Source organism: Homo sapiens, chromosome X (assembly GCF_000001405.40).
Source record: "Homo sapiens chromosome X, GRCh38.p14 Primary Assembly".
Taxonomy (NCBI): Eukaryota; Metazoa; Chordata; class Mammalia; order Primates; family Hominidae; genus Homo; species Homo sapiens.
Window position 1 is genome coordinate 108,631,708 of NC_000023.11, and position 25,730 is coordinate 108,657,437.

The following is a 25,730-nucleotide window of genomic DNA, read 5'->3' on the forward strand; positions in this document are numbered from 1 at the left end:
GAACAACCTGCTCCTAAATGACTACTGGGTACATAATGAAATTAAGGCAGAAATAAAGATTTTCTTTGAAATCAATGAAAAGAAAGACAACATTCCAGAATCTCTGGGACACATTTAAAGCAGTGTGTAGAGGGAAATTTATAGCACTAAATGCCCACAAGAGAAAGCAAGAAAGATCTAAAATCGACACCCTAACATCAATTAAAAGAACCAGAGAAGCAAGAGCAAACAAATTCAAAAGCTAGCAGAAGGCAGGAAATAACTAAGATCAGAGCAGAACTGAAGAAAATAGAGACACAAAAAACCCTTCAAAACATCAATGAATCCAGGAGCTGGCTTTTTGAAAACATCAACAACATTGATAGACCGCTAGCAAGACTAGTAAAGAAGAAAAGAGAGAAGAATCAAATCGACAAAATAAAAAATGATAAAAGGAATATCATCACCGATCCCACAGAAATACAAACTACCATCAGAGAATACTATAAACACCTCTATGCAAATAAACTAGAAAATCTAGGAAGAAATGGATAAATTCCTCGACACATAGACTCCCCCCAAGACTAAACCAGGAAGAAGTTGAATCTCTGAATAGGCCAATAACAGGCTCTGAAATTGAGGCAATAATTAATAGCCTACCACCCAAAAGAAGTCCAGGACCAGATGGATTCACAGCCGAATTCTACCAGAGATACAAAGAGGAGCTGGTACCATTCCTTCTGAAACTATTCCAATCCATAGAAAAAGAGGGAATCCTCCCTAACTCATTTTATGAGGCCGGCATCATCCTGATATCAAAGCCTGGCAGAGACACAACAAAAAAAAGAGAATTTTAGACCAATATCCCTGATGAACATCGATGCAAAAATCCTCAATAAAATACTGGCAAACTGAATCCAGCAGCAGATCAAAAAGCTTATCCACCAAGATCAAGTTGGCTTCATCCCTGGGATGCAAGGCTGGTTCAACATATGCAAATAAATAAACGTAATCCATCACATAAACAAAACCAAAGACAAAAACCACATGATTATCTCAATAGATGGAGAAAACACCTTCGACAAAATTCAACAGCCCTTCATGCTAAAAACTCAATAAACTAGGTATTGATGGAACGTATCTCAAAATAATAAGAGCTATTTATGACAAACCCACAGCCAGTATCATACTGAATGGGCAAAAACTGGAAGCATTCCCTTTGAAAACTGGCACAAGACAGGAATGCCCTCTCTCACTACTCCTGTTCAACATAGTGTTGGAAGTTCTGGCCAGGGCAATCAGGCAGGCGAAAGAAATAAAGGGTATTCAGTTAGGAAAAGAGGAAGTCAAATTGTCCCTGTTTGCAGATGACATGATTGTATATTTAGAAAACCCCACCGTCTCAGCCCCAAATCTCCTTAAGCTGATAAGTAACTTCAGCAAAGTCTCAGGAGCATAGTTTTTTGATTGTCAATATTTTGTTGCTGAAATAGGAAATTCATCAATTGAGGGGGAGAGAGAGGAAGAGGTAAGGAAGGCTTGAGGCCTGTCACATAGATTTTAGGATTTTTTGGAAAAAAAGTCTTCTACTTATGAAGACTTCTATATCCTGAGATTATAAAAATAGATTTATATATTTCTTACAGGATTTTCATGGTTTTTTTCTGTACATTTGCATTTTAATGCACCTGAGTATTTCTGTATGTTGTATGAGGTGAGAAACTAACTTTATTTTTTTTCCCAAATAAATATCCAGTTGACTGAGCCTCATTTGTTACAAACTCAATTCTTTATTCACTGATATAAAATTGTATTTAAATTTTTTTTCCAAATTTGTTCATGAATTTTTTTTTCTGGAATGAGTGAATTTTAACATTTTACTAATGGAATCAAAATTACCATAATAAATTGTCTCTACATTTTTAATGGGTGATAGCAGAAAAATATGTTTTAATTGGTAAATGTCCAAAGTATATTCAACTCTACAAGCAAGAGGTTAGCTTTTAGTTCTTCTGTGTGACCTACAAGTATATTTCAGTAAGCAAATTTTACACTAAATTTAGAAACTTAACAAAGATGATATTGTGGAAATAATGTAAAGTAGTCTGTTGTTTCTTTCAGATGGCATTATTATACCTTAAAATAGTGACATGTTGAAAAAATAAAAGTTTTTTTAGCTCAGTTCTATTAGGTACAGGTGATCTTTGCTTTTGCACAAATTTCAGTTATCATTACTTAACACCGATCCACAACAACATTGTTTAAATTTTAGTTGCTATGATATATTAACTCTTCCATTTATAAATCATCATCTAAATAAGAGATGTGCATTACAATCAGTGGACAGTAATTTCACTTCTTTCAAATTCTGTCACTAATTAGTAACCATGCATCTGTTCAGTTCCTGCACTGACAGCAAAGCATTTAGTTGTGTCACCTCCTTGTCTCCCAGTGATAAAGCAATGTGACATTTTACAAAAATGGATAATCAAAAGAGAAAATTAGCCAACAAAGAAGAAAGTGCAACAAAAAAAAAAAAAAAGGAAAGTGATAGCACTGGAAGTAAGGTTTGAATCTAAAGTAAATGGGGTTATAGAATTAATAGCCAACCATAGAATTGTAGACACTGCCACCATTTGAGAGACTCTAGATATGCAGCTAAGGAACTTAGTGAAGGCAAACTTATCAACATTAATGAGGAAAGGAGCACTGATGAAAAGGATGAAGATGTCACAGAGGAAGTGTTGCCATCACAAATTTCACATTAAAGGAACTCTTGGAGATATTTTACAAGTTTGAAAGTATAAAGGTTAACATGCTGGAAGCTGATCTCAGTTTAGAAACAGTGAGACAATTTCTGTGCCAAGGCATAGAAAAGATGTGTGCTCTGTATTGTAAGTTATACGAGAAGAAGGGAGACACTGTTCAAATTACTCTTGGTAACTTTTTTACAATGAAATAAATCACTTTATTTTTCAATGTTTCTAATGTTTAAATTAGCATTTACCAAATAAATATTGGATTTACTATTTTTTATTTCTTTATACATGTGTATCTGACATTAAAACATATTTTAATGTTTTGATAACATTTTTAAAGGTCATAGAATAATTACATTTTCCCCCATTGATTATTAAGATCACTTTACATGATTTTGGTTTGCAGTTTCATTTTTCCAGTTCCACACTACCACGTGAAACAAAGAGTACCCATATTATAAAGGAAGAGAAGAAGAACAGTTTTAGGAAATATAATGGTATGATTGAGGGAAAACAAGCATAAGACAAATTTCTGTAATTACTGAGTTGTTAAGAAATAGGAATAGTGGTAAAATATCAGATAGGTAGTTTGTTTTATGGATGTCACTGTTTATGAAACAGCAGCTCTGTTAGTCAAAAAGCATGATTAATAAAGTATACTGAAAACCCCAGACAAGGAGTCAGTAGGCAGAAATTTGAGTCCTGGGTTTGTGTACATGACCTTGATAAGTCACTTAATTCTTCAGTGTCTTCAGTACCTTGTCCATAAAAAGTGGGAGAAAAAAAATCCTACTTTTTGTAGTTATTGTGAGGTTTCAATGAGATTAAAACATGCTTCATAAAAAAGAAAAAAAAGGAAAAGGAATGAAACACTTTGTAAATTATAAAGCATTCTATACATAGTATTTCTTTTTATCTAAAATGAAAGGGCTGGAGTAGAGGGTGTCTAAGATATCTGGAATTCTCAAATATAATGACTCTATGGAACTATATGAATCTGTAATGCTCTTTTAATATAGTGTAATTGTTCTAACCTTCATAACTCCTTTTTAAAATCTAATCATACTACAGATTCATCCCTTTCATAATCCCAGATGGCTTTTATGCTGAAATTGACAAGTGTATCCTAAAATTCATATGGAAGTGCAAGGAACCCAGAATAGTCAAAGAAATCTTGAGAAGAACAGATTTGGAGGACTCACTCTTCTGGATTTCAAAACTTACTACAACTATGATACCAGCACTGGGTAGACATAGAGACTGATGGAATAGATAGAGTCCAGAAATACCCATACATTTTTGGTCAACTGATTTTCAACGTAGGTACCAAAACAATTTAAAGGGAGTTAAGGATAGTCTTTTCAACAAATGATGCTGGAACATGGATGCAGCTGGAGGCTACTATCTATCCTAAGCAAATTAATGCAGAAGCAGAAAACCAAATAGCACATGTTCTCACTTAAAGTTTGGAGGTAAGTATTGGGTATACACAGATGCAAAGATGGGACAATAAATTCTGGGTATTCCCAAAAGGGGTAAGGAGTGGGGGAAGTGTTGACAAACCTATGGAGTACTATGTTCACTACTTGGGCAATGGGAACATTAGAAGCCCAAACATCAACATCACATAATATACCCATGTAACACACCTGCATACATAACCCCTGGATCTAAAATAAAAAACAAAACAAAAATCAAATCATGCTGGGAAAAGAGGATACCTGTCTGCAAAAGAATGAATCTGGACCCCTATCTCATACTGTATACAAATATTAACTCCAACTGGATTACTGACCTAAATATAAGAACTAAACCATAAACATATTAGGATAAAAGATGACTAAATTCTTGTGACCTTGCATTAGGTAATGGTTTCTTAGCTATGACACTAAAAGCACAAACAACTAAAGGAAAAATAAATTGGGCTATATTAAAATTCATTAGGTAATGGTTTCTTAGCTATGACACTAAAAGCACAAACAACTAAAGAAAAAATAAATGGGGCTTTATTAAAATTTAATGTGTTTTCTGTTGCAAATGATACCATCAAGAAAGTGAAAAGACAGCTCACGAGATGAAAGAAAATATTTGCAAATCATATATGAGATAAAGGATTTGTATACAGAATATATAAAGAATTCTTATAATTCAACGGAAAGCAAATAACTCAGTTTTTAAAAGTGCACAAAGTGAATTGGACCTAACAAACATATACAAAATATTCTATCCAAGAAAAATGCAGAATATACATTTTTGCAACTGCACATGGAACATTCTCCAGAATAGACAATATATTAGAGCACAAAGTAAGTCTTCATACACTTAAAAAGATTAAAACCACACAGCATATATTTTTTAATCATGATGGAGTGAAATTAGAAATCAATGGCAGAAAGTAAACTGGAAAATCTACTAATGCATGTAAATTAAACAAGACGCTCTTAACCAATGAGGCAAAGAAGAAATCACGAGGGTAGTTAGAAAATGTAATGTCTTTTTTTTTTTTTTTTTTTTTTTGACAGAGTCTTATTCTGTTACCCAGGTTGGAGTGCAGTGGCGTGATTGTGGCTCACTGCAACCTCTGCCTTCCAGGCTCAAGCAATTCTCATGCCTCAGCCTCCTGAGTAGCTGGGATTACAGATACGCACCACCATGCTTAGCTAATTTTTTGTAGAGATGGGGTTTTGCCATGTTGGACAGTTGGTCTTGAACTCCTGACCTCAAGCAATCCACCCTCCTTGGCCTCCCGAAGTGCTGGGATTACAGGCATGAGCCACCATGTCTGGCAGAAAATATAATGAGACAAATGAAAATGAAACCACAACATACCAAAACGTACAGGATGTAGTGAAAGCAATGCTAAATGGGAAATTAATAGCTGTAAATACTTACATTAGAGAAGAAACATCTCAAATCAAAAACCTAACTTTACATCTTAAAGAACTAGAAAAAGAAAAACTAAATCCAAAACTAGCAGAAAGAAAGAAATAATAAAGATTAGAGCAGAGATAAATAAAATACAGAACTAAAAAAATCATAGATGAAGTCAACAAAACTAAAAGTTGTTTCTTCAAAAAGATAACAAAATAGAAAAAGTTTTAGCTAGCTTGACTACAAGAAAAAGAGAGAAGACTCAACTAAAATCAGAAATAAAAGAGGAGACATTACTACCAATCTTACAGAACTAAAAATATATGAGACTGCTATGAACAGGTGTTTGCTAACAAATTAGATAACCTGGATGAAATGGGCAAATTCCTAGAAAGACACAATCTACCAAGACTGAATCATAGAAGTAGATTATATGAATAGACCTAAAGTGAGTAAGAAGATTGACTCAGTAATCAAAAACCTTCCAATAAAGAAAAGCTCAGGACCAGATGGCTACACTGGTGAATTCTACCAATCTTTTTTTTTTTTTTTGAGACAGGGTCTCGCTATGTTGCCCATGCTGGATGGAGTGCAGTGGTGCAGTTACGGCTCACTGCAGCCTTGTCCTTGTGGGCTCAAGTGATCTTCAGCCTCCCAAATATTTTCCAAACAATTAAAGAAGGATTAACAGCATTTGTTTTCAAGGTCTTCCAAAAAAATTGAAGAGGAGGGAACACTTCCAAACTCATTATATTATACCTGGATTACCCTGATACCAAATCCAGACAAAGACACTACAATAAAAGAAAGCTACAGACCAAAATCCCTTATGAATATTGATGCAAAAAATCCTTAACAAAATACTAGCATACTGAATTCAACAGCATATTAAAAGGATTATATGCCATGGTCAAGTGAGATTTTTTCCTGGGATGCAAGGATAGTTCAGCATACAAAAATCATTAGTGTAATACACCATCACACTAACAGAATGAAGGAGAAATCCCACATGATCACTTAATTAATGCAAAAAAAAGCATTTGACAAAATTCAACACTGTTTCATGATTAAAAAAACACACCACAAGCTAGGAATAGAAGCGAACTATCTACTTATTATAAAGGTCATATATGAAAAAACCCACAGCTAACAATGGTAAAAGTCTGAATGCTTTTCCTCTAAGACCAAGAAGAAGTTAAGGATTCTTAATTTTACTACTTCCTTTCAACATAGTACTGGAATTCCTAGCCAGACCAATTAGGCAAGAAAAAGAAATAAAAGTCATCTTAATTGGAATGGAAGAAGTAAAATTATCTTTGTTCAGAGATGATATAATGCTATGTAGAAAACTCTACAAAGATACCATATATGCGGAAAATAGGTAGAACTAATAAACAAATTCAGCAAAGATTCAGGATAAAAAATCAACACACAGCAGTCAGTTTTGAATGTTTTGATGCATCAACAATGAACATTCCAAAAAGGAAATTAAGAAAATTAAATTTACAGTTGCATCAAAAAGAATAAAATACTTAAGAATAAACCTAACCAAGAAGGTGGAAGACTTGTGCTCTGAAGACTACAAAATATTGCTAAAAGGAATTAAAGAAGACAGAAATAAATGGAAGATTTAATACTGTTAAAATGTCCATACTACCCAAAGCAATACACAGATTCAATGCAACGCCTATCAAAACTCCAATGGCATTTTTTTTTCCAGAAACGAAAAACTTAGTCTAATTCACAAGGAAATCTCAAGGGACCCCAACTAGCCAAAACAATTCTAAAAAAGAACCAGGTTGGAGGACTCATAATAATTTTTTATTAGAAAACATATTACAAAGTTATAGTAATCAAAGCGGTGTGGTGCTGACATAAAGACAGCAAATAGACCAATGTAATAGATAGACCAGAGATAAAATCTCTGGTCTGTAGTTGAATGATCTTTGACAAGGGTGCTCAATGGGGAAAGGCGTTCAACAAATGCATGCTGGGTAAAATGAATGTCCATATGCAGAAGAATGGAGTTGAACCATTTTCTTACATCATATATAAAATTAATTCAAAAAAGAATGAAGACCTAAATGTAAGACCTAAAACTATAAAACTCTTAGAAGAAAACATGGGACAACATGCCTCATGACATTAGATTTTTTTCAATGATTTCTTGGATATGACACCGAAATCACAGGCAACAAAAGAAAAAATAGATTAATTGGACAACATCAAAATGTTAAGCTTTTGTGCATCCAAGAACACTACTAATAGAGTGAAAAGGCAACTCATGGGATGGAAGAAAATATTTGTAAATTGTATATCTGGTAAAAGATTAATTTCCAGAATTTTAAAAAGAACTCCTACAAGTCAATAACAAAAGCCATCAAACAACCCAATTCAGAAATAAGCAAATGACTTGAATAGACCTTTCTTCAAAGATGATATACAAATGGCAAATTAGTACATGAAAAGATGGTCAACATCACTAATCATTAGGGAAATGCAGTCAATTCTACAGTGAGATAACACTTCATACCCATTAAGAAGGCTATTATATAAAAAACAGTAAATAACAAGTGTTGGTGAGGATGTGGAGAAGTTGGAACTCTCCTGTATTGCTAGTAGGAATGTAAAATTGTGCAGCCACTATGGAAAACATTATGGCAGTTCTTCAAAAGTAAACACAGAATTATCATATGATCTAGCAATTTCACTTCTGGAGACACATCTAACATAATTGAAAACAAAAATGGGACCTCAAAGAGATGTTTTTGTAGCCATGCTTCTAGCAACATTATTCACAAGTCACAAGGTGGAAGCATCCCAAATGTCCATTGATAGAGGAATGTGTAATAAAATGTGGTATGCACACACAATAGATATTTTTTGACCTTAAAATGGAATAATATTCTGATACATACTACAATATGGATTAACTTTGAAGCCGTTATGCTAAGTGAAATAAGCCAGTTATAAAAAGACAAATATTACATGACCCCAGTTACATAAGGTACCTAGAACAGTCAATTTCATAGAGACAGAAGGTAGAATGGTAATTGCTCAGGGTTGGGGGAGGGGAAAATAAGGAGATATTGGCCAAAGGGTACAAACATTTAGTTAGTTATAAGATGAATAAACTCTAGGGATCAAATGTACAGCATGGGCACTATAGTTTAAAATATTGTGTTGTATACTTGAAATTTGTTGAGAGTAGATCTTAATTGCTTTCACCACACACTGAAAAAAAAATTGTAACTCGGTGAAGTGCTAGATGTGTTAACTAATTTCATTGTGGATATGAGTATAAGGTTTCCGTTTGGGTTGATAAAAAAAATTCTGGAGATATATGGTGGTGATGGTTGCAAAAAGTGTGAATGTTGTTTATGCCACAGGACTATACCCTTAAAAATAATTAAAATGGTAAGATTTATGTTTTGTATATTTTGATACTCTAAAAAGCCACATAAAATGAAAATATTAATTAGCTTGATTTAATCATTTCACAATGTATACATGTATCATAACATCACATCATACTCTATAAATGTATATAGTTTTTATCAGTTAAAAATAAAATATTTTTAAGTGAAAAAATGAACAAAGGAATTGAATAGCTATTTCTCTAAGAAAGATGTACAAATGGCCAGTATGTACATGAAAAGGTGTTTAACCTCATTAGTCATTATGAAAATGCAAATCAAAACCACATTGAGATACCACTTCACACTTACTTGAGTAGGCATAATAAAGAGAGAAAATAACAAATGTTGGCAAGGATGTGAAGAAATTAGAACCCTTTTGCATTGCCAGTGGGAATGTAAAATGATGCAGCTGCTGTGAAAAAATATTTGACAGTGCCTCAAAAAGTTAAATAAAGAGTTATCATATGGCTCAGCAATTCCACTCCTAGGTATTTTCCCAAGAGAAATGAAGCTGTATTTCTGCACAGAAACTTGTACTTGAATACTCACAGCAGCCAAAAGTGAAGAAAACCCAAATCACAAGAATGGCTAAACAAAATGTGCTATCCCAGAGAAAATTGAGGAGAGTGAGGATCATCATGGTGGACGGGAGACAGGACTGGATTACAGCTCCAACTCGGACAGACAGAGCAGCATACAGAGGTACGCATTGTGAATTTAGTTCCAGATCAACTGCAACAACAAACCAGTAATCACAAGAGGATGCACAGACCCTCTGAAGGAAGTGGACTTCTCTTGCAGGACCCAGGAGACACCCCAAATACTGTGAGTGCCCCAAATATAGAAGTGGAAAGTGGAGATCCTTCTCTCCCAAATACACACCGCCACTGGAGAAACTGGAGGTCTGTTTGTGGGAGAAGTTTCTGACCTTACCTGGAGCTGAGTCCATTTAGAGAGCCAAGTGAAATACAGGGGTAGAGGAAGCAGCAGGAAAGGCCCTGGGGGCTTGCTGGGTCACCAAGCAGGCCATTCCTGCCTGGCACCACAGGGATCCATCGGGAGGGCAGCCAGAGGAGTGGAGGAAAGCACCACAGGGAGAAGGAAGCCTCCAGCTGAACTTTGTAACAATTTGAACCAGGCGAGAAGCCTCCTGGCCAGAACTCGGGGGAGGGCATGAATCCAGTGTGCAGACTCCACAGATGGGGGAAGAACCAAGCCCTTTTCTTTTGCAGCTTGGTGGCAGGTAGCCTGCGGCAAGTTCTCAAGCCCTGCTCACCCACCACCTGGAAACAGACTTGGGGCTGTTAATAGGGGCACAGTGGGAGTAAGATCGGCCCTTTGATTTGTGTGGGAGTTGGGTGAGGCCTGTGACTGCTGGTTTTCCCCCACTTCTCTGACAATCTGCATGACTCAGCAGAGGCACCCATAATCCTCCTAGGTACACAACCCCATTGATCTGGGAACCTCACCTCCATCCCCCACAGCAGCCACAATAAGACCTGCCCAAGGAGGGTCTGAGCTCAGAGGTCCCTAGCCCTGCCCCCACCTGATGAGCCTTTCCTATCCACCCTAGTAGCTGAAAACAAAGGGCATATAATCTTGAGATTTCTAGGGCCCCACCTACCACTGGTTCCTCTCCATACTACCACAGCTGATGCTTTCTGGAAAGTGCCACCTCCTGGCAGGAAGCCAACCAGCCCCAAAATAGAGCATTAAACCACCAAAGATAAGAACCCTCACAGAGTACATTTCACCCCCTGCCACCTCCACTGGAAGAGGTGCTCGTACCCATGGCTGAGAGACCATAGACAGTTCACATCACAGGACTTTGTGCAGACAATTCTCAGTAGCAGCTGAGAGCTGGGTAGACTTTCTGGGTGGCTAAACCAAGAAGAGAGACAATAATCACTGCAGTGCCCCTCACAGGAAGCCACATCCATAGGAAAAGGGGGAGAGTACTACATCAAGGGAACATCCCATGGGACAAAGGGATCAGAAAAACAGACTTCAGCCCTAGACCTACCCTGTGACAAAGCCTACCCAAATGAGAAGGAACCAGAAAACCAACTCTGGTAATATGAAAAAACAAGGCTCTTTAACACTCCCCCTCTCCAAAAAAAAAAAAAAAAAAAAAGTCACACTAGTTCACCAGCAATGGATCCAAACCAAGAAGAAATCCCTGATTTACCTGAAAAAGAATTCAGGAGGTTACTTATTAAGCTAATCAAGGAGGCACCAGAGAAAGGTGAAGCCCAATGTAAGGAAATCCAAAATATGATACAACAATTGGATGGAGAAATATTAAAGGAAATAGATAGCATAAATAAAAACAATCAAAACTTCAGGAAACAATGAACACACTTATAGAAATGCAAAATGCTCTGGAAAGTCTCAGCAATAGAATTGAACAAGTAGAAGAAAGAAATTCAGAGCTCAAAGAATAAGAAAATATAAACAAAGCCTCCAAGAAGTCTAAGATTATGTTAAACAACCAAACCTAAGAATAATCGGTGTTTCTGAGGAAGAAGAGAAATCTAAAAGTTTGGAAAACATATTTGGGGAATAATTAAGGAAAACTTCCCCAGCCTTGCTAGAGACCTAGACATCCAAATACAAGAAGCACAAAGAACACCTGGGAAATTCATCACAAATCGATCATTGCCTAGGGACATCGTCATCAGGTTATCTAAAGATAAGATGAAGGAAAGAATCTTAAGAGCTGTGAGGCAAAAGCACCAGGTAACCTATAAAGGAAAACCTGTCAGATCAACAGCAGAATTCTCAGCAGAAACCCTACAAGCTTGAAGGGATTGGGGCCCTATCTTCAGCCTCCTCAAACAAAACAATTATCAGCCAAGAATTTTGTATCCAGTGAAACTAAGCATCATATATTAAGGAAAGATACAGTTGTTTTCGCACAAACAAATGCTGAGAGAATTCGCCACTACCAAGCCACCACAACAAGAACTGAGGAAAGGAGCTCTAAAACTTGAAACAAATCCTGGAAACACATAAAAACAGAACCTCTTTAAAGCATAAATCACATAGGACCTACAAAACAAAACTACAAGTTAAAAGGCAAAAATAAAAACCCCAAAATACCAAGGTACGCAGGCAACAAATAGCATGATGAATGCAATGGTACCTCACATCTGAATGCTAACATTGAGTGTAAATGGCCTAAATGCTCCACTTAAAAGATATAGAACTACAGAATGGATAAGAACTCACCAACCAATGATCTGCTGCCTTCAGGAGACTCACCTAACACATAAGGACTCACATAAACTTAAAGGAGTGGAAAAAAGCCTTTCATGCAAATAGACACCAAAAGCGAGCAAGAGTAGCTATTGTTCTATCAGACAAAATAAACTTTAAAGCAACAACAGTTAAAAGAGACAAAGAGGGACATTCTATAATGCTAAAGGGCCTTGTCCAACAGGAAAATATCACAATCCTAAATATATATGCACCTAACACTGGAGTTCCCAAATTTATAAAACAATTACTAATAGACCTAAGAAATGAGATAGACAGCAACACAATAATACTGAGGAACTTCAATCCTCTACTGACAGCACTAGACAGGTCATCAAAACAGAAAGTCAACAAAGAAACAATAGATTTAAACTATACCTTGGAACAAATGGACTTAACAGATATATACAGAACATTCCATCCAACAACCACAGAATACACATTCTATTCAAAAGCCCACGAACTTTCTCCAAGATAGACCATATGATAGGCCATAAAAGAAGCCTCAATAAATTTAAGAACATTGAAATCATGTCAAGCACTCTCAGACCACAGTGGAATAAAACTGGAAATCAAATCCAAAAGGAATCTGCAAATACATGGAATTTAAACAACTTCCTCTCGGGCCGGGCATGGTGGCTCACGCCTGTAATCCCAGCACTTTGAGAGGCCAGTTTGGGCAGATCACCTGAGGTCAGGAGTTTGAGACTAGCCTGGCCAACATGGTGAAACCTTATGTCTACTAAAATTACAAAAAATAGCTGGGGATGGTGGCAGGCACCTGTAATCCCAGCTACTCAGGAGGCCAAGGCAGGAGAATCACTTGAACCCGGGAGGCGGAGGTTGCAGTGAGCCGAGATTATGCCACTGCACTCCAGCCTGGGTGACAGAACAAGACTCCGTCTCCAAACAACAACAACAACAACAAAAAAAAAAAAAAAAAAGAAAGCAAAGAAAAGAAACATGCTCCTAAATGAGCATTGGGTCAAAAATGAAATCAAGATGAAAATTAAAAAATTGTTTGAACTGAACGATAATAATGATATAACCTATCAAAGCCTTTGGGATACAGCAAAGGTGGTGCAAAGAGGAAAGTTCTTAGCCCTAAATGCCTACATCAAAAAGACGAAAAGAGCACAAACTGACATTCCAAGGTCACACCTCAAGGAACTAGAGAATCAAGAACAAATCAAACCCAAACCCAGCAGAAGAAAGGAAGTCACCAAGATCAGGGCAGAACTAAATGAAATTGAAACAAAAAAGAATTGCAAAAGATAAATGAAACAAATAGCTGCTTCTTCAAAAACATAAATAAAATTGGTAGACCATTACCAAGATTAAGAAAAGAAGAGAGAAAATCCAAAGAACATCATTAAGAAATGACACAGGAGATATTACAACTGACACCACTGAAATAAAAAAGATTATTCAAGGCTACTATGAACACCTTTATGTACATAAACTAGAAAACCTAGAAGAGATGGCTAAATTCCTGGAAAAATAAAACCCTCCCATCTTTTTTTTTTTTTACAATTAGTATTAAAATGGGAAGCATATCTAGCTCCCAGATCTTGGTTACTTTTTTTTAAAATTATTATTATTATACTTTAAGCTTTAGGGTACATGTGCACAATGTGCAGGTTTGTTACATATGTATACATGTGCCATGTTGGTGTGCTGCACCCATTAACTCGTCATTTAGCATTAGGTATATCTCCTAATGCTCTCCTTCCCCCCTCCCCCGACCCCACAACAGTCCCTGATGTGTGATGTTCCCCTTCCTGTGTCCATGTGTTCTCACTGTTCAACTCCCACCCATGAATGAGAACATGCGGTGTTTGGTTTTTTGTCCTTGCGATAGTTTGCTGAGAATGGTAGTCTCCAGCTTCATCCATGTCCCTACAAAGGACATGAACTCATCATTTTTAATGGCTGCATAGTATTCCATGGTGTATATGTGCCACATTTTCTTAATCCAGTCTATCATTGTTGGACATTTGAGTTGGTTCCAAGTCTTTGCTATTGTGAATAGTGCCACAATAAATATACATGTGCATGTGTCTTTATAGCAGCATGATTTATAATCCTTTGGTATATACCCAGTAATGGGATGGCTGGGTCTAATGGTATTTCTAGTTCTAGAACCCTGAGGAATTGCCACACTGACTTCCACAATGGTTGAACTAGTTTACAGTCCCACCTACAGTGTAAAAGTGTTCGTATTTCTCCACATCCTCTCCAGCACCTGTTGTTTCCTGATTTTTTAATGATCGCCATTCTAACTGGTGTGAGATGGTATCTCATTGTGGTTTTGATTTGCATTTCTCTGATGGCCAGTGAGGATAAGCATTTTTTCATGTGTTTTTTGGCTGCATAAATGTCTTCTTTTGAGAAGTGTCTGTTCATATACTTTGCCCACTTTTTGATGGGGTTGTTTGTTTTTTTCTTGTAAATTTGTTTGAGTTCATTGTAGATTCTGGATATTAGCCCTTTGTCAGATGAGTAGATTGCAAAAATTTTCTCCCATTCTGTAGGTTGCCTGTTCACTCTGATAGTAGTTTCTTTTGCTGTGCAGAAGCTCTGTAGTTTAATTAGATCCCATTTGTCAATTTTGGCTTTTGTTGTCATTGCTTTTGGTGTTTTAGACATGAAGTCCTTGCCCATGCCTGTGTCCTGAACAGTATTGCCTAGGTTTTCTTCTAGGGTTTTTATGGTTTTACGTCTAACATTTAAGTCTTTAATCCATCTTGAATTAATTTTTGTATAACGTGTAAGGAAGGTATCCAGTTTCAGCTTTCTACATATGGCTAGCCAGTTTTCCCAGCACCATTTATTAAATAGGGAATCCTTTCCCCATTGCTTGTTTTTGTCAGGTTTGTCAAAGATCAGATAGTTGTAGATATGCGGCATTATTTCTGAGGGCTCTGTTCTGTTCCATTGATCTATATCTCTGTTTTGGTACCAGTACCATGCTGTTTTGGTGACTGTAGCCTTGTAGTATAGTTTGAAGTCAGGTAGCGTGATGCCTCCATCTTTGTTCTTTTGGCTTAGGACTGACTTGGTGATGCAGGCTCTTTTTTGGTTCCATATGAACTTTAAAGTAGTTTTTTCCCATTCTGTGAAGAAAGTCATTGGTAGCTTGATGGGGATGGCATTGAATCTATAAATTACCTTGGGCAGTATGGCCATTTTCACAATATTGATTCTTCCTACCCATGAGCATGGAATGTTCTTCCATTTGTTTGTATGCTCTTTTATTTCATTGAGCAGTGGTTTGTAGTTCTCCTTGAAGAGGTCCTTCACATCCCTTGTAAGTTGGATTCCTAGGTATTTTATTCTCTTTGAAGCAATTGTGAATGGGTCTTCACTCATGATTTGGCTCTCTGTTTGTCTGTTATTGGTGTATAAGAATGCTTGTGATTTTTGCACATCGATTTTGTATCCTGAGACTTTGCTGAAGTTGCTTATCAGCTTAAGGAGATTTGGGGCTGAGACGATGGGGTTTTCTAGATATACAATCCTGTCATCTGCAAATAGGGACAATTTGACTTCCTCTTGTCCTAATTGAATACCCTTTATTTTCTTCTCCTGCCTGATTGCCCTGGACAGAACTTCCAACACTAAGTTGAATAGGAGTGGTGAGAGAGGGCATCCCTGTCTTGTGCCAGTTTTCAAAGGGAATGCTTCCAGTTTTTGCCCATTAAGTATGATATTGGCTGTGAGTTTGTCATAGATAGCTCTTATTATTTTGAGATACATCCCATCAATACCTAATTTATTGAGAGTTTTTAGCATGAAGGTTGTTGAATTTTGTCAAAGGCCTTTTCTGCATCTATTGAGATAATCATGTGGTTTTTGTCTTTGGTTCTGTTTATATGCTGGATTACGTTTATTGATTTGCGAATGTTGAACCAGCCTTGCATCCCAGGGATGAAGCCCACTTGATCATGGTGGATAAGCTTTTTGATGTGTTGCTGGATTTGGTTTGCCAGTATTTTATTGAGGATTTTTGCATCAATGTTCATCAAGGATATTGGTCTAAAATTCTCTTTTTTTGTTGTGTCTCTACCAGGCTTTGGTATCAGGATGATGCTGGCCTCATAAAATGAGTTAGGGAGGATTCCCTCTTTTTCTATTGATTGGAATAATTTCAGAAGGAATGGTGCCAGCTCCTCCTTGTACCTCTGAAAACCCTCCCATCTTAAATCAGGAAGAATTAGATACCCTGAACAGACCAACAACAAGCAGCAAGCTTGAAATGGTAATTAAAAAATTACCAACAAAAAAAAGTCTAGGACCAGATGAATTCACAACAGAATTCTGCCAGACATTCAAAGAAGAATTGGCACCAGTACTTTTGACACTATTCCACAAGACAGAGAAAGAAGGAGCCCTCCCTAATTCATTTTAGGAGGCCAGCATCAGCCTAATACCGAGACCAAAAAAGAAAACTGCAGACTGATATCCTTGATTAACATCGATGCTAAGATCCTTGACAAAATACCAGTTAACTGAATCCAACAGCGTATCAAAAAGATAATCCACCATGATCAGGTGGGTTTCATACCAAGGATGCAGTGATGGTTTAACATAGGTAAGTCAACAAATGTGATACACCACATAAACAGAATTAAAAACAAAAGTCACACGATCATTTCTATAGATGCAGAAAAAAAACATTCAACAAAATCCAGCATCACTTTACAATTAAAACTCTCAGCGAAGTCAGCATACAAGGGACATACCTCAATGTAATAAAAGCTATCTATGACAAACCCACAGCCAACATAGTACTGAATGGGGAAAAGTTGAAAGCTTTCCCTCTGAGAACTGGAACAAGACAAGGATGCCCACTCTCACCACTCCTCTTCAACATAGTACTGGAAGTCCTAGCTAGAACAATCAGACAAGAGAAAGAAAAAAAGAACATCCAAATCGGTAAAGAGGAAGTCAAACTGTCACTGTTTGCTGACAATATGATCGTTTACCTCAAAAACCCTAAATACTCCTCCAGAAAGCTGCTAGAACTGATAAAAGAATTCAACAAAGTTTCTGGATACAAGATTAATGTACACAAATCAGTAGCTCTTCTTTACACCAACAGTGACCAAGCAGAGAATCAAATCAAGAACTCAACCCCTTTTACAATAGCTGCAAAAAATAAAATAAAATAAAATAAAATACTTGGGAATAGACCTAACCAAGGAGACGAAAGACCTCTCTACAAGGAAGACTACAAAACACTGCTGAAAGAAATCATAGACGACACAAACAAATGGAAACACATCCCATGCTCATGGATGGGTAGAATCAATATTGTGAAAATGACCATACTGCCAAAAGCAGTCTACAAATTTGACACAATCCCCATCAACATACCACCGTCATTCTTCACAGAATTAGAAAAGACAATTCTAAACTTCATTTGGAACCAAAAAAGTGCCTGCATAGCCAAAGCAAGACTAAACAAAAAGAACAAATCTGGAGGCATCACACTACCTGAGTTCAAACTATACTGTTAAGGCCATAGTCACCAAAACAGCATGGTACTGGTATAAAAATAGGCACATAGACCGATGGAACAGAATAGATAACCCAGAAATGAACCCAAATGCTTACAGCCAACGGATCTTAGATAAAGCAAACAAAAACATAAAATGGGGAAATGACACCCTTTTCAACAAATGGTGCTCAGTTAATTGGCTAGTCACATGTAGGAGAATGAAACTGGATTCTCATCTCTCACCTTATACAAAAATCAACTCAAGACGGATTAAGGACTTAAATCTAAGACCTGAAACTATAAAAAATCTAGAAGATATCATTGGAAAAATCCTTCCAGACATTGGCTTAGGCAGAGATTTTATGACCAAGAGCCCAAACACAAATGCAATAAAAACAAGATAAATAATTGGGACTTAATTAAACTAACGAGCTTTTGCACAGCAAAAGGAGCAGTCAGCAGAGTAAACAGACAATCCACAGACTGGGAGAAAATCTTCACAATCTGTACATCTGACGAAGGACGAATATCCAGACTCTACAACGAACTCAAACAAATCAGTAAGAAAAAAAAACAAAAAACAAAGAAACAATCCCATCTAAAAGTAGGCTAAGGACATGAATAGACAATTCTCAAAAGAAGATATACAAATGGCCAAAAAACATATGAAAAAAAATGCTCAACATCACTAATGATCAGGGAACTGCAAATCAAAACCGCAATGCAATACCACTTTACTCCTGCAATAATGGCCATAATCAAAAGATCAAAAAATAGGAGATCTTGGTGTGGATGCGGTGATCAGGGAACACTTCTACACTGCTGGTGGGAATGTAAACTAGTACAGCTACTCTCGAAAAGAGTGTGGAGATTCCTTAAAGAACTAAAAGTAGAACTACCATTTGATCCAGCAATCCCACTACTGGGTATCTACTCAGAGGAAAATAAGTCATTATACAAAAAAAAGATAATTGCACACGCATGTTTATAGCAACACAATTTGCAGTTGCAAAATTATGGAACCAACCCAAATGCCCATCAATCAAAGAACTGATAAGCTGTGGTATATATACATATATACAATGGAATTCTACTCGGCCATTAAAAGGAATAAATTAATGGCATTTGCAGCGACCCGGATGACATTGGAGACTATTATTCTAAGTGAAGTAACTCAGGAATGGAAAACCGAACATTGTATGCTCTCCCTGATATGTGGGAGCTAAGCTATGAGGACGCAAAGGCATAAGAATGATACAAGGGACTTTGGGGACTTGTGGGGAAGGGTGGGAGTGGGGCAAGGGATAAAAGACTGCAAATACGGCACAGTGTATACTGCTTGGGTGATGGGTGCACCAAAATCTCACAAATCACCACTAAAGAACTTACTCATGTAACCAACTACCACCTGTACCCCAATAACTTATGGAAAAATTAAAAAAAACAAGCAAACAAAAACCAAAGTGTGCTATCCCATACACTGGAATATCATTTGACAATTTTAAAAAATGATGTACTGATACATGGTGTAAAATGGATGAACCTTGAAAACATTATGCTAAGTGAAATAAGCAAGGCACAAAATAGCCACATATCATATGATTTCATTTATATGAAATGTCCAGAATAGGCAAATCTGTACAAAGAGAAGGCAGATTAGGTTTTGCTACGGCTTGGAGGGAGTGAGAATGAGAAATGACTGCTAATGTGTACAGTTTCTTTTAGGGGGAAATGGAAAATTTTCTAAAATTAGATTGTGATGATGGTTGTACAATCCTATGAAGATACTGAAAACATTGAATTGTACACTTTAAGTGGATGAATTGTACGGTATATAAATTATATCTCAATAAAGTTATTTTAAAACAATGCACATTATAGAAAATCTACAAAGTTTCTGCTAATAACATGTAATGTTTTTAGTTGTCTTTAAATTACTATCTTTATTTTAGGATGTTTTTAGTTCTAGAATCCTGAGATTTGATGAACAAATGGGTGTGATTTTCCCCACAATTAACTTTGGGCACATTTTAAGTAATTGTATGTGCTGTGATTACTAGAACTACACATGCTGTGCTAGTATGGAATAGCATGATTTATGAATCATATTTTTTCTTTAATATTTCTTTAGTATTTTGAGCCACCTGTAGGCTCATTGAGCTGATGTTTGGAGCAATTTGCTATTATGCCTATCTTGCATGGTAAAGGGTAGTATAGAGCTCATTATCTTTTAAGTTTAGTTCATATTCTTTTTCTCTAAGTTCATCATTACCTTAGACATACTACTATTGAATTTCATGTGGCAGCTTTGGCCTGCTCAGGCAGCCTTGAGCCATTATTTATCAGTTTGTTACTGTTAGCTTAACATTTCACTACTGGGAAGAGCTAAATAACATGCAAATTTGAAGGTCTTATTGTATAATTCCTTTTCTAGATAATTAAAATGTTAATGGTTGCTCAATGGATATAAAGCTTCAGTTATGCAAGATGAGTAAGTTTTACAGATCTGTTATACAATATGGTGCCTACAGTTGACAGTACAGTATTGTTCACCTTAAAATATGTTAAGAGGATAGATTTCATGTTAAGTGCTCTTACCACAACCCCCCGACACAAGAACATGAAGAAATTTTTGGAGGTGATGGATATGTGTAGTACTTTGATTGTGCTTATGGTATCATGGGTATATGCATATATCCAAACTCATAAGTATGTATGCATTATGTGCAGTTTTATATATAAATTAATAAAGCTTTAAAAAAGTATCTCTGCATGCACTTTTAAATTTCCCTCTGTTAATATTCTGGGTCTAAAATAGAACCTATTTATGGTTTTGTTCATGGTCTTTAATCTCCAAATACAGATAAGGTTGTAAAAACATTAACAATTATGTGGGAACCACAACTTCCAACTGATGGTCTACTCTTGTAATATTCTTCTTGCATAAAGCAAGATATGATGTTTACTCTTTCTCCTCAAATATTTTCCTTTTGTTGTCTTTGTTTCCCCCAGTGGCAATGCTTCTCTAGTTTTACAGTGGAATGCAAGAACAAAAGTGATTAGCTTTTTTACCAATAGATGTCTTCTGTTCTGTAAAATGGGGCAAGCCTGTAAGTTTATTCTGAATTTTGGGTTATAGTATGGAATGGAGGAGAAGATGCTATTACTAGGACATAGTAGAGATTGGCTATGATCCAAATACCATTACATTACAATTTGAATCTTAACAACAAAGAAGATATCAAATTGACTCCTTTTTCTACGTGATACAACACAGTGACCTTGAAAGCAGTTCTAATTTCAGGCTTGTCTTTCAGTGTTACTATAGTCATTAGATAGTTTCACAATGGTAAATGTGACTTATTAGGTATGAGATATTTCATTTTCAGAATTATATCAAAGCTTGACATTAGAACAGATGTAGATATTTGCAGCTGTGTGTCCGAGTCATTCAAATCGCTTCTACCTAGAAGTGCAAATAGATTTGAATTTTCCTTTCTCAGAGTGATTTGTGTCCAGTTTGTAGATTTTCTGAGCACTGTCTTCTTTATCTCTTCTTGCTTTCCTTTTTTGAAATTCATTGTTTTCAATGAGTTTGTGTGTGAATAATAAAAGGCTAGATAAAGCTTAAGCTAGCAAATTTCAGTGTTTTTTTCAGAAGCCCTAATAAAATATTTACTTTATTTTTAAAAGGTACTTGGTTTGAAGGAGTAGGGCCATAAGAGTGATTACAGAAACGGTATTGAGGGCAAGTGCTGGCTGAACTTAGAGACTGGGCTTACAGTAGTCCCCCCTTACCAAGGGGGATACATTCCAAGACCCCCCGTTGGATGCCTGAACCTGTGGATAATACCTAACCTTTTATATACTGTGTGGTTTTTTTTTTCCATCTGGTAACAGAGACAGCTACTAAGTGACTCATAGACAGGTAGTGTTTATAGCATGGATATGCTGGGGAAAGGAGTAGTTCAGGTTTCGAGAGGGATGGAATGGGACAACATGACATTTTATCATGCTACACAAAATGGCGTGCAATTAAAAACATAAATTATTTATTTCTGGAATTTTCAATATTTTCAGAACACAGGTGACTGAAACCATGGATAGCAAAACCATGGATAAGGAAGAATTTCTGTACTTTTAGAATTTAATGTCCTTTAGTATCATAAATAATCCAGAGTTTGCCTTCTGCCTTTCAGATTTACCACTAGCAGAATAGTGGAATTTTTTTCTTGTTTTTTATTTTGGTATATACATTTAATTTTTTCATGAATAACAAAAAGAATCATGATAGTTTATTCAAAGGTTTCCCATGTAAACACCTAAGATGGGACCAATTCAATCCAAAATTTAATTGTATACCTATTATGTGCCTCAAAATGAACTAGATATTTGATTTACAAGGTTCAGAAAAAATGTATATATTCCCAGCCCAAGATTCTTAATTTTTTTAAATAATAGGATGTAAGGAAAAAGAGACTTTAGTTTAAAGAGCTATTACCATAATGCAGAAACATGAGTCAAAAATAGATCTTACTCACCTGCAAGTGTATGTACTAAGTGAGGAAGGAAGTATTCAGTAGGTGATGTTGAACACTAGCACCTTATTGTAAAGGTCCTGATCTTCATGCGCAGAGCAGCAAGCCCTGCAGTAGAGATTTAGTGTTAAGGTATATGTTGCCATTGTTATTGGGAAAAACTTGTTTTAATTGTGAAAGTGGGTATGAATTCTTCTAAGGCTCTATTGGAAAAAACCTTAATGCAAATATTCATTGAGCAAAAACGGTTATACATATGTGAATTATCTCTTACCCAAAATAAACTTTCAATGTAATTAAGGAGTTAAGACTGCATATATGAAGCCATTGTAGACATGACAGAGTAAGAACCTACCCTAACCTCTTGGGGTAAACTCTCTTTGCCCAGGAATGCTTCATGGAAGAAGTAGGATTTTTCTTTTCTTGTTAAGAGGCAGGGCTCCCTCTGTCATCCAGGCTGGCCTGTAGTGGCATGATCACGGCTCAATATAGCCTTGACCTCATAGGCTGAAGCCATCCTCCCACCTCAGCCTCCTGAGTAGCTGGGACTACAGGCATGCACCACTACGCCCAGCTGATCTTTTTTATTTTTTGTAGAGACAGAGTCTCCCTTTGTTGCCCAGGCTGGTCTTAAACTCCTGGGCTCAAGCAATCCTCCAGCCTTGGCTTCCCAAAGTGCTACAGCCACAACACTCAGCCAGAAGTGGGATTTTAGATGCCCACTGAAGAATTGATAGACTTCCTTATGTTACAGTGAAAATCACCTTTTTCAGTAGAACGTACTATAGCTTTTGGTTGACATGTGTACTGGAAGCAATGAATTGCATTATGGCACAGTAGGAATGATAAACACAGGTTCTGAAGTCAGACTGTTTGAATCCAAATTCGGATTTCATCACTTACTAGCTCCATCACTATAACATGGGAATAATAACAGTATCTTTCTAATAGGGTTGTTAAGGATTAATGAGAATAATACATCTACATACTGTGAGAATAGTATGGGCTATGTAGTCTGATTGGCTACATAGCTGATTGTAGTCTGGTTCAAATCCCAGTTCTGCCACTTACAAAAACCTTAGGCACTTGGCTTCTCAAGATTCAGTTTTCTCATTTATAAATGGAGATAATGAAGCCTAACTCACAGAACTGTTGTGATGATTAAATGAAGCAATTTACATCAAGTACTTACTGGAGTGCCTGACATATAATAAAAGCTCTATAAATAATGTTATGTTCTTATACAATCTAAGTCGTGTAGAGACTTCAGTATTATCTTTTTATTCGTGTTTTCAGGGTGAGCCTGGTCTGCCTGGATACCCAGGGAACCCTGGTATCAAAGGTTCTGTGGGAGATCCTGGTTTGCCCGGATTACCAGGAACCCCTGGAGCAAAAGGACAACCAGGCCTTCCTGGATTCCCAGGTAAAATTTCTTCTCTTAAATGCTTCCTTCTTTCCTTCCTTATCTACTCCAACCAGTATCACAGAGCAGCTTCTTATTTGGCAGACTTATATTTTATTTCCCAATCAGATACTGACTAGCAACATAATCTCAAACTATCTCTTTACCTTTTCTTTGCCCAAATTTATTTCTGTATAAAATGAGAATGAATATTACTGACTCAGCAGGACAATATCCTGTGGACAGAGAGACTGTTTGGTGGAGCATTTTTCAATCTTTGACTGCTAGCCACAAATCACTTAAGAAGCCTTGCTATTTTTGTAGGTAATAATATATACTTCCAAGCCTCTGCCTGCAGCTGATTATCTTAGAAAGGTATGCCCAGGCACACCGCTGGTAGCGGTTGGTAGAACAATCATACAGTTCCTTCAAATGGCAAGGATTGAGCCATTCAAGTAAGAGATTAGCACTATAGTCAATTATGTAGCCTGAACTAGATTATTATAGTACCTACTTGTTTAGGGTTGAATTTATTTTTTGCTTGTTTTGAATTACACAGTGGCATGGATGAATGAACCTTTCCTTTTTATTGAAGTGAAGCATACATGTAGTAAAGTACACTTAAGACTATAGATGAGTTTTTACCTAAGTACATATATGTCTTTGAATTGACCATATGTATCAAGATATAAAATAGTTTCTTCATCCCACGAAGTTTACCCATGCCCCTACGCCCCCCAACCCCGAGGTGACCACTACTATGACTTCCATTACCATCAGTTAATTTTGCATGTTATTGAAATTCATATAAATGAAATCATACAGTGATCCTTGTATCTGGCTTTTTTCAGTCATCATTATGTGTAAAAGATTCATTTATTTTGTTACACGTGTCAGTAGTTTGTTCTTTATCATTGCTATGCAATATTACATTGAAGAATGTACCACAGTCAATTACACATTCCCCTGTTGATGGACTTTTGGGTTGTTTCCAGTTTGGGACTATTATTTTTAAAAATGCTATTAACATTCTTTTACATATCTTTTGATAAACATATACATTGATTTCTCTTAGACAAAAACTTAGTAGTAGAAATACTGAATCACAGGGTAGGTGTACATTGAACTTTAGTAGATGCTGCCAAACAGTTTTCCAACATGGTTTGTAAATTAGTTTCAACAGCCATGTATGAAATATCCAGTTCTCCAATTGCCCATGTCCTCACCATCACTGGGCAGTGTCGGTCTTAATTTTATCTGTTTTGATGAGTATGTAGAAGCATCTAATTGAGGTTTGAATTTACATATTCCTAATGAATAATAGTATTAATCATCTTTTTATTATACTATTGGCCATTTGGATAGCATCTTTTTGAAGTTTCTTCTTAAGTACTTTTGTTCATTTTTTATTGAATTGTCTGTCCTTTTTCAAATAGATTCAGAGTAGTTCTTTATATACTCAAGATATGAGTCCTTTGTCAGATACATATATTGCAAATCTATTCTCTGTGCCTCAGATTTGCCTTTCCTAATGCTGTTGTGTAATGAACAAAAGTTGTTAATTTTAATAAAATCCAGTGTATCAATCTTTCCTTTCATGAATAGTGATTTTTTTATCCAATTCAATAAATATTTGTCTATTTGAGGTTATGGAAATAATCTTCTAATTTTTATAACATGTTTCATGTTTAAACTTTCATATTTGGCTTATGAGCTATCTCAAATAAAAATATTTTTACAGTGTGAGGTAGGGGTCAAGGTTCATTTTTTTTCCAGCACAGTTATCCAATTGCTCCCTACACTATTTTTTTTTTAAAGAACCTAAACGCATCCAATAAATTACAGTCACACCTTTGTAAGAAAGCCAAATGACTGTACATGTGGTGGGCTATTTCCAGACTCTGTGTACTGTTCCAATGGTTTATTTTCTATTGCTGCTTTAACACAACACTGAATTACTGTAAATTTATATTAAGCCTTGAAAAATGGTGGGTAAGTACT

The 25,730-nt window shown here is 36.3% G+C and overlaps 1 protein-coding gene across 9 annotated transcripts in view, besides 1 other annotated feature; it reads left to right on the forward strand.

The window, feature by feature from the left end:
- The window catches only part of COL4A5 (collagen type IV alpha 5 chain), a 257,708-nt gene that overhangs the window by 191,870 nt on the left and 40,108 nt on the right, over nt 1–25,730 (forward strand). For all 9 annotated transcript variants that reach the window (XM_047441810.1, NM_033380.3, NM_000495.5 and 6 more), the window contains one exon: nt 23,624–23,750. In XM_047441810.1, coding sequence (XP_047297766.1) covers nt 23,624–23,750 — 127 coding nt within the window. The remainder of the gene's footprint in view (nt 1–23,623; nt 23,751–25,730) is intronic.
- Nucleotides 9,783–10,982: an enhancer, noted in NCBI's record as "CDK7 strongly-dependent group 2 enhancer chrX:107884720-107885919 (GRCh37/hg19 assembly coordinates)". NCBI's record gives its function as "activates an origin of replication core promoter dependent on BRD2, BRD4, P300/CBP, MED14 and CDK7 cofactors, with strong dependence on CDK7, by STARR-seq in HCT116 cells {active_cell/tissue: HCT116}" and the evidence as "EXISTENCE:reporter gene assay evidence [ECO:0000049][PMID:35650434]".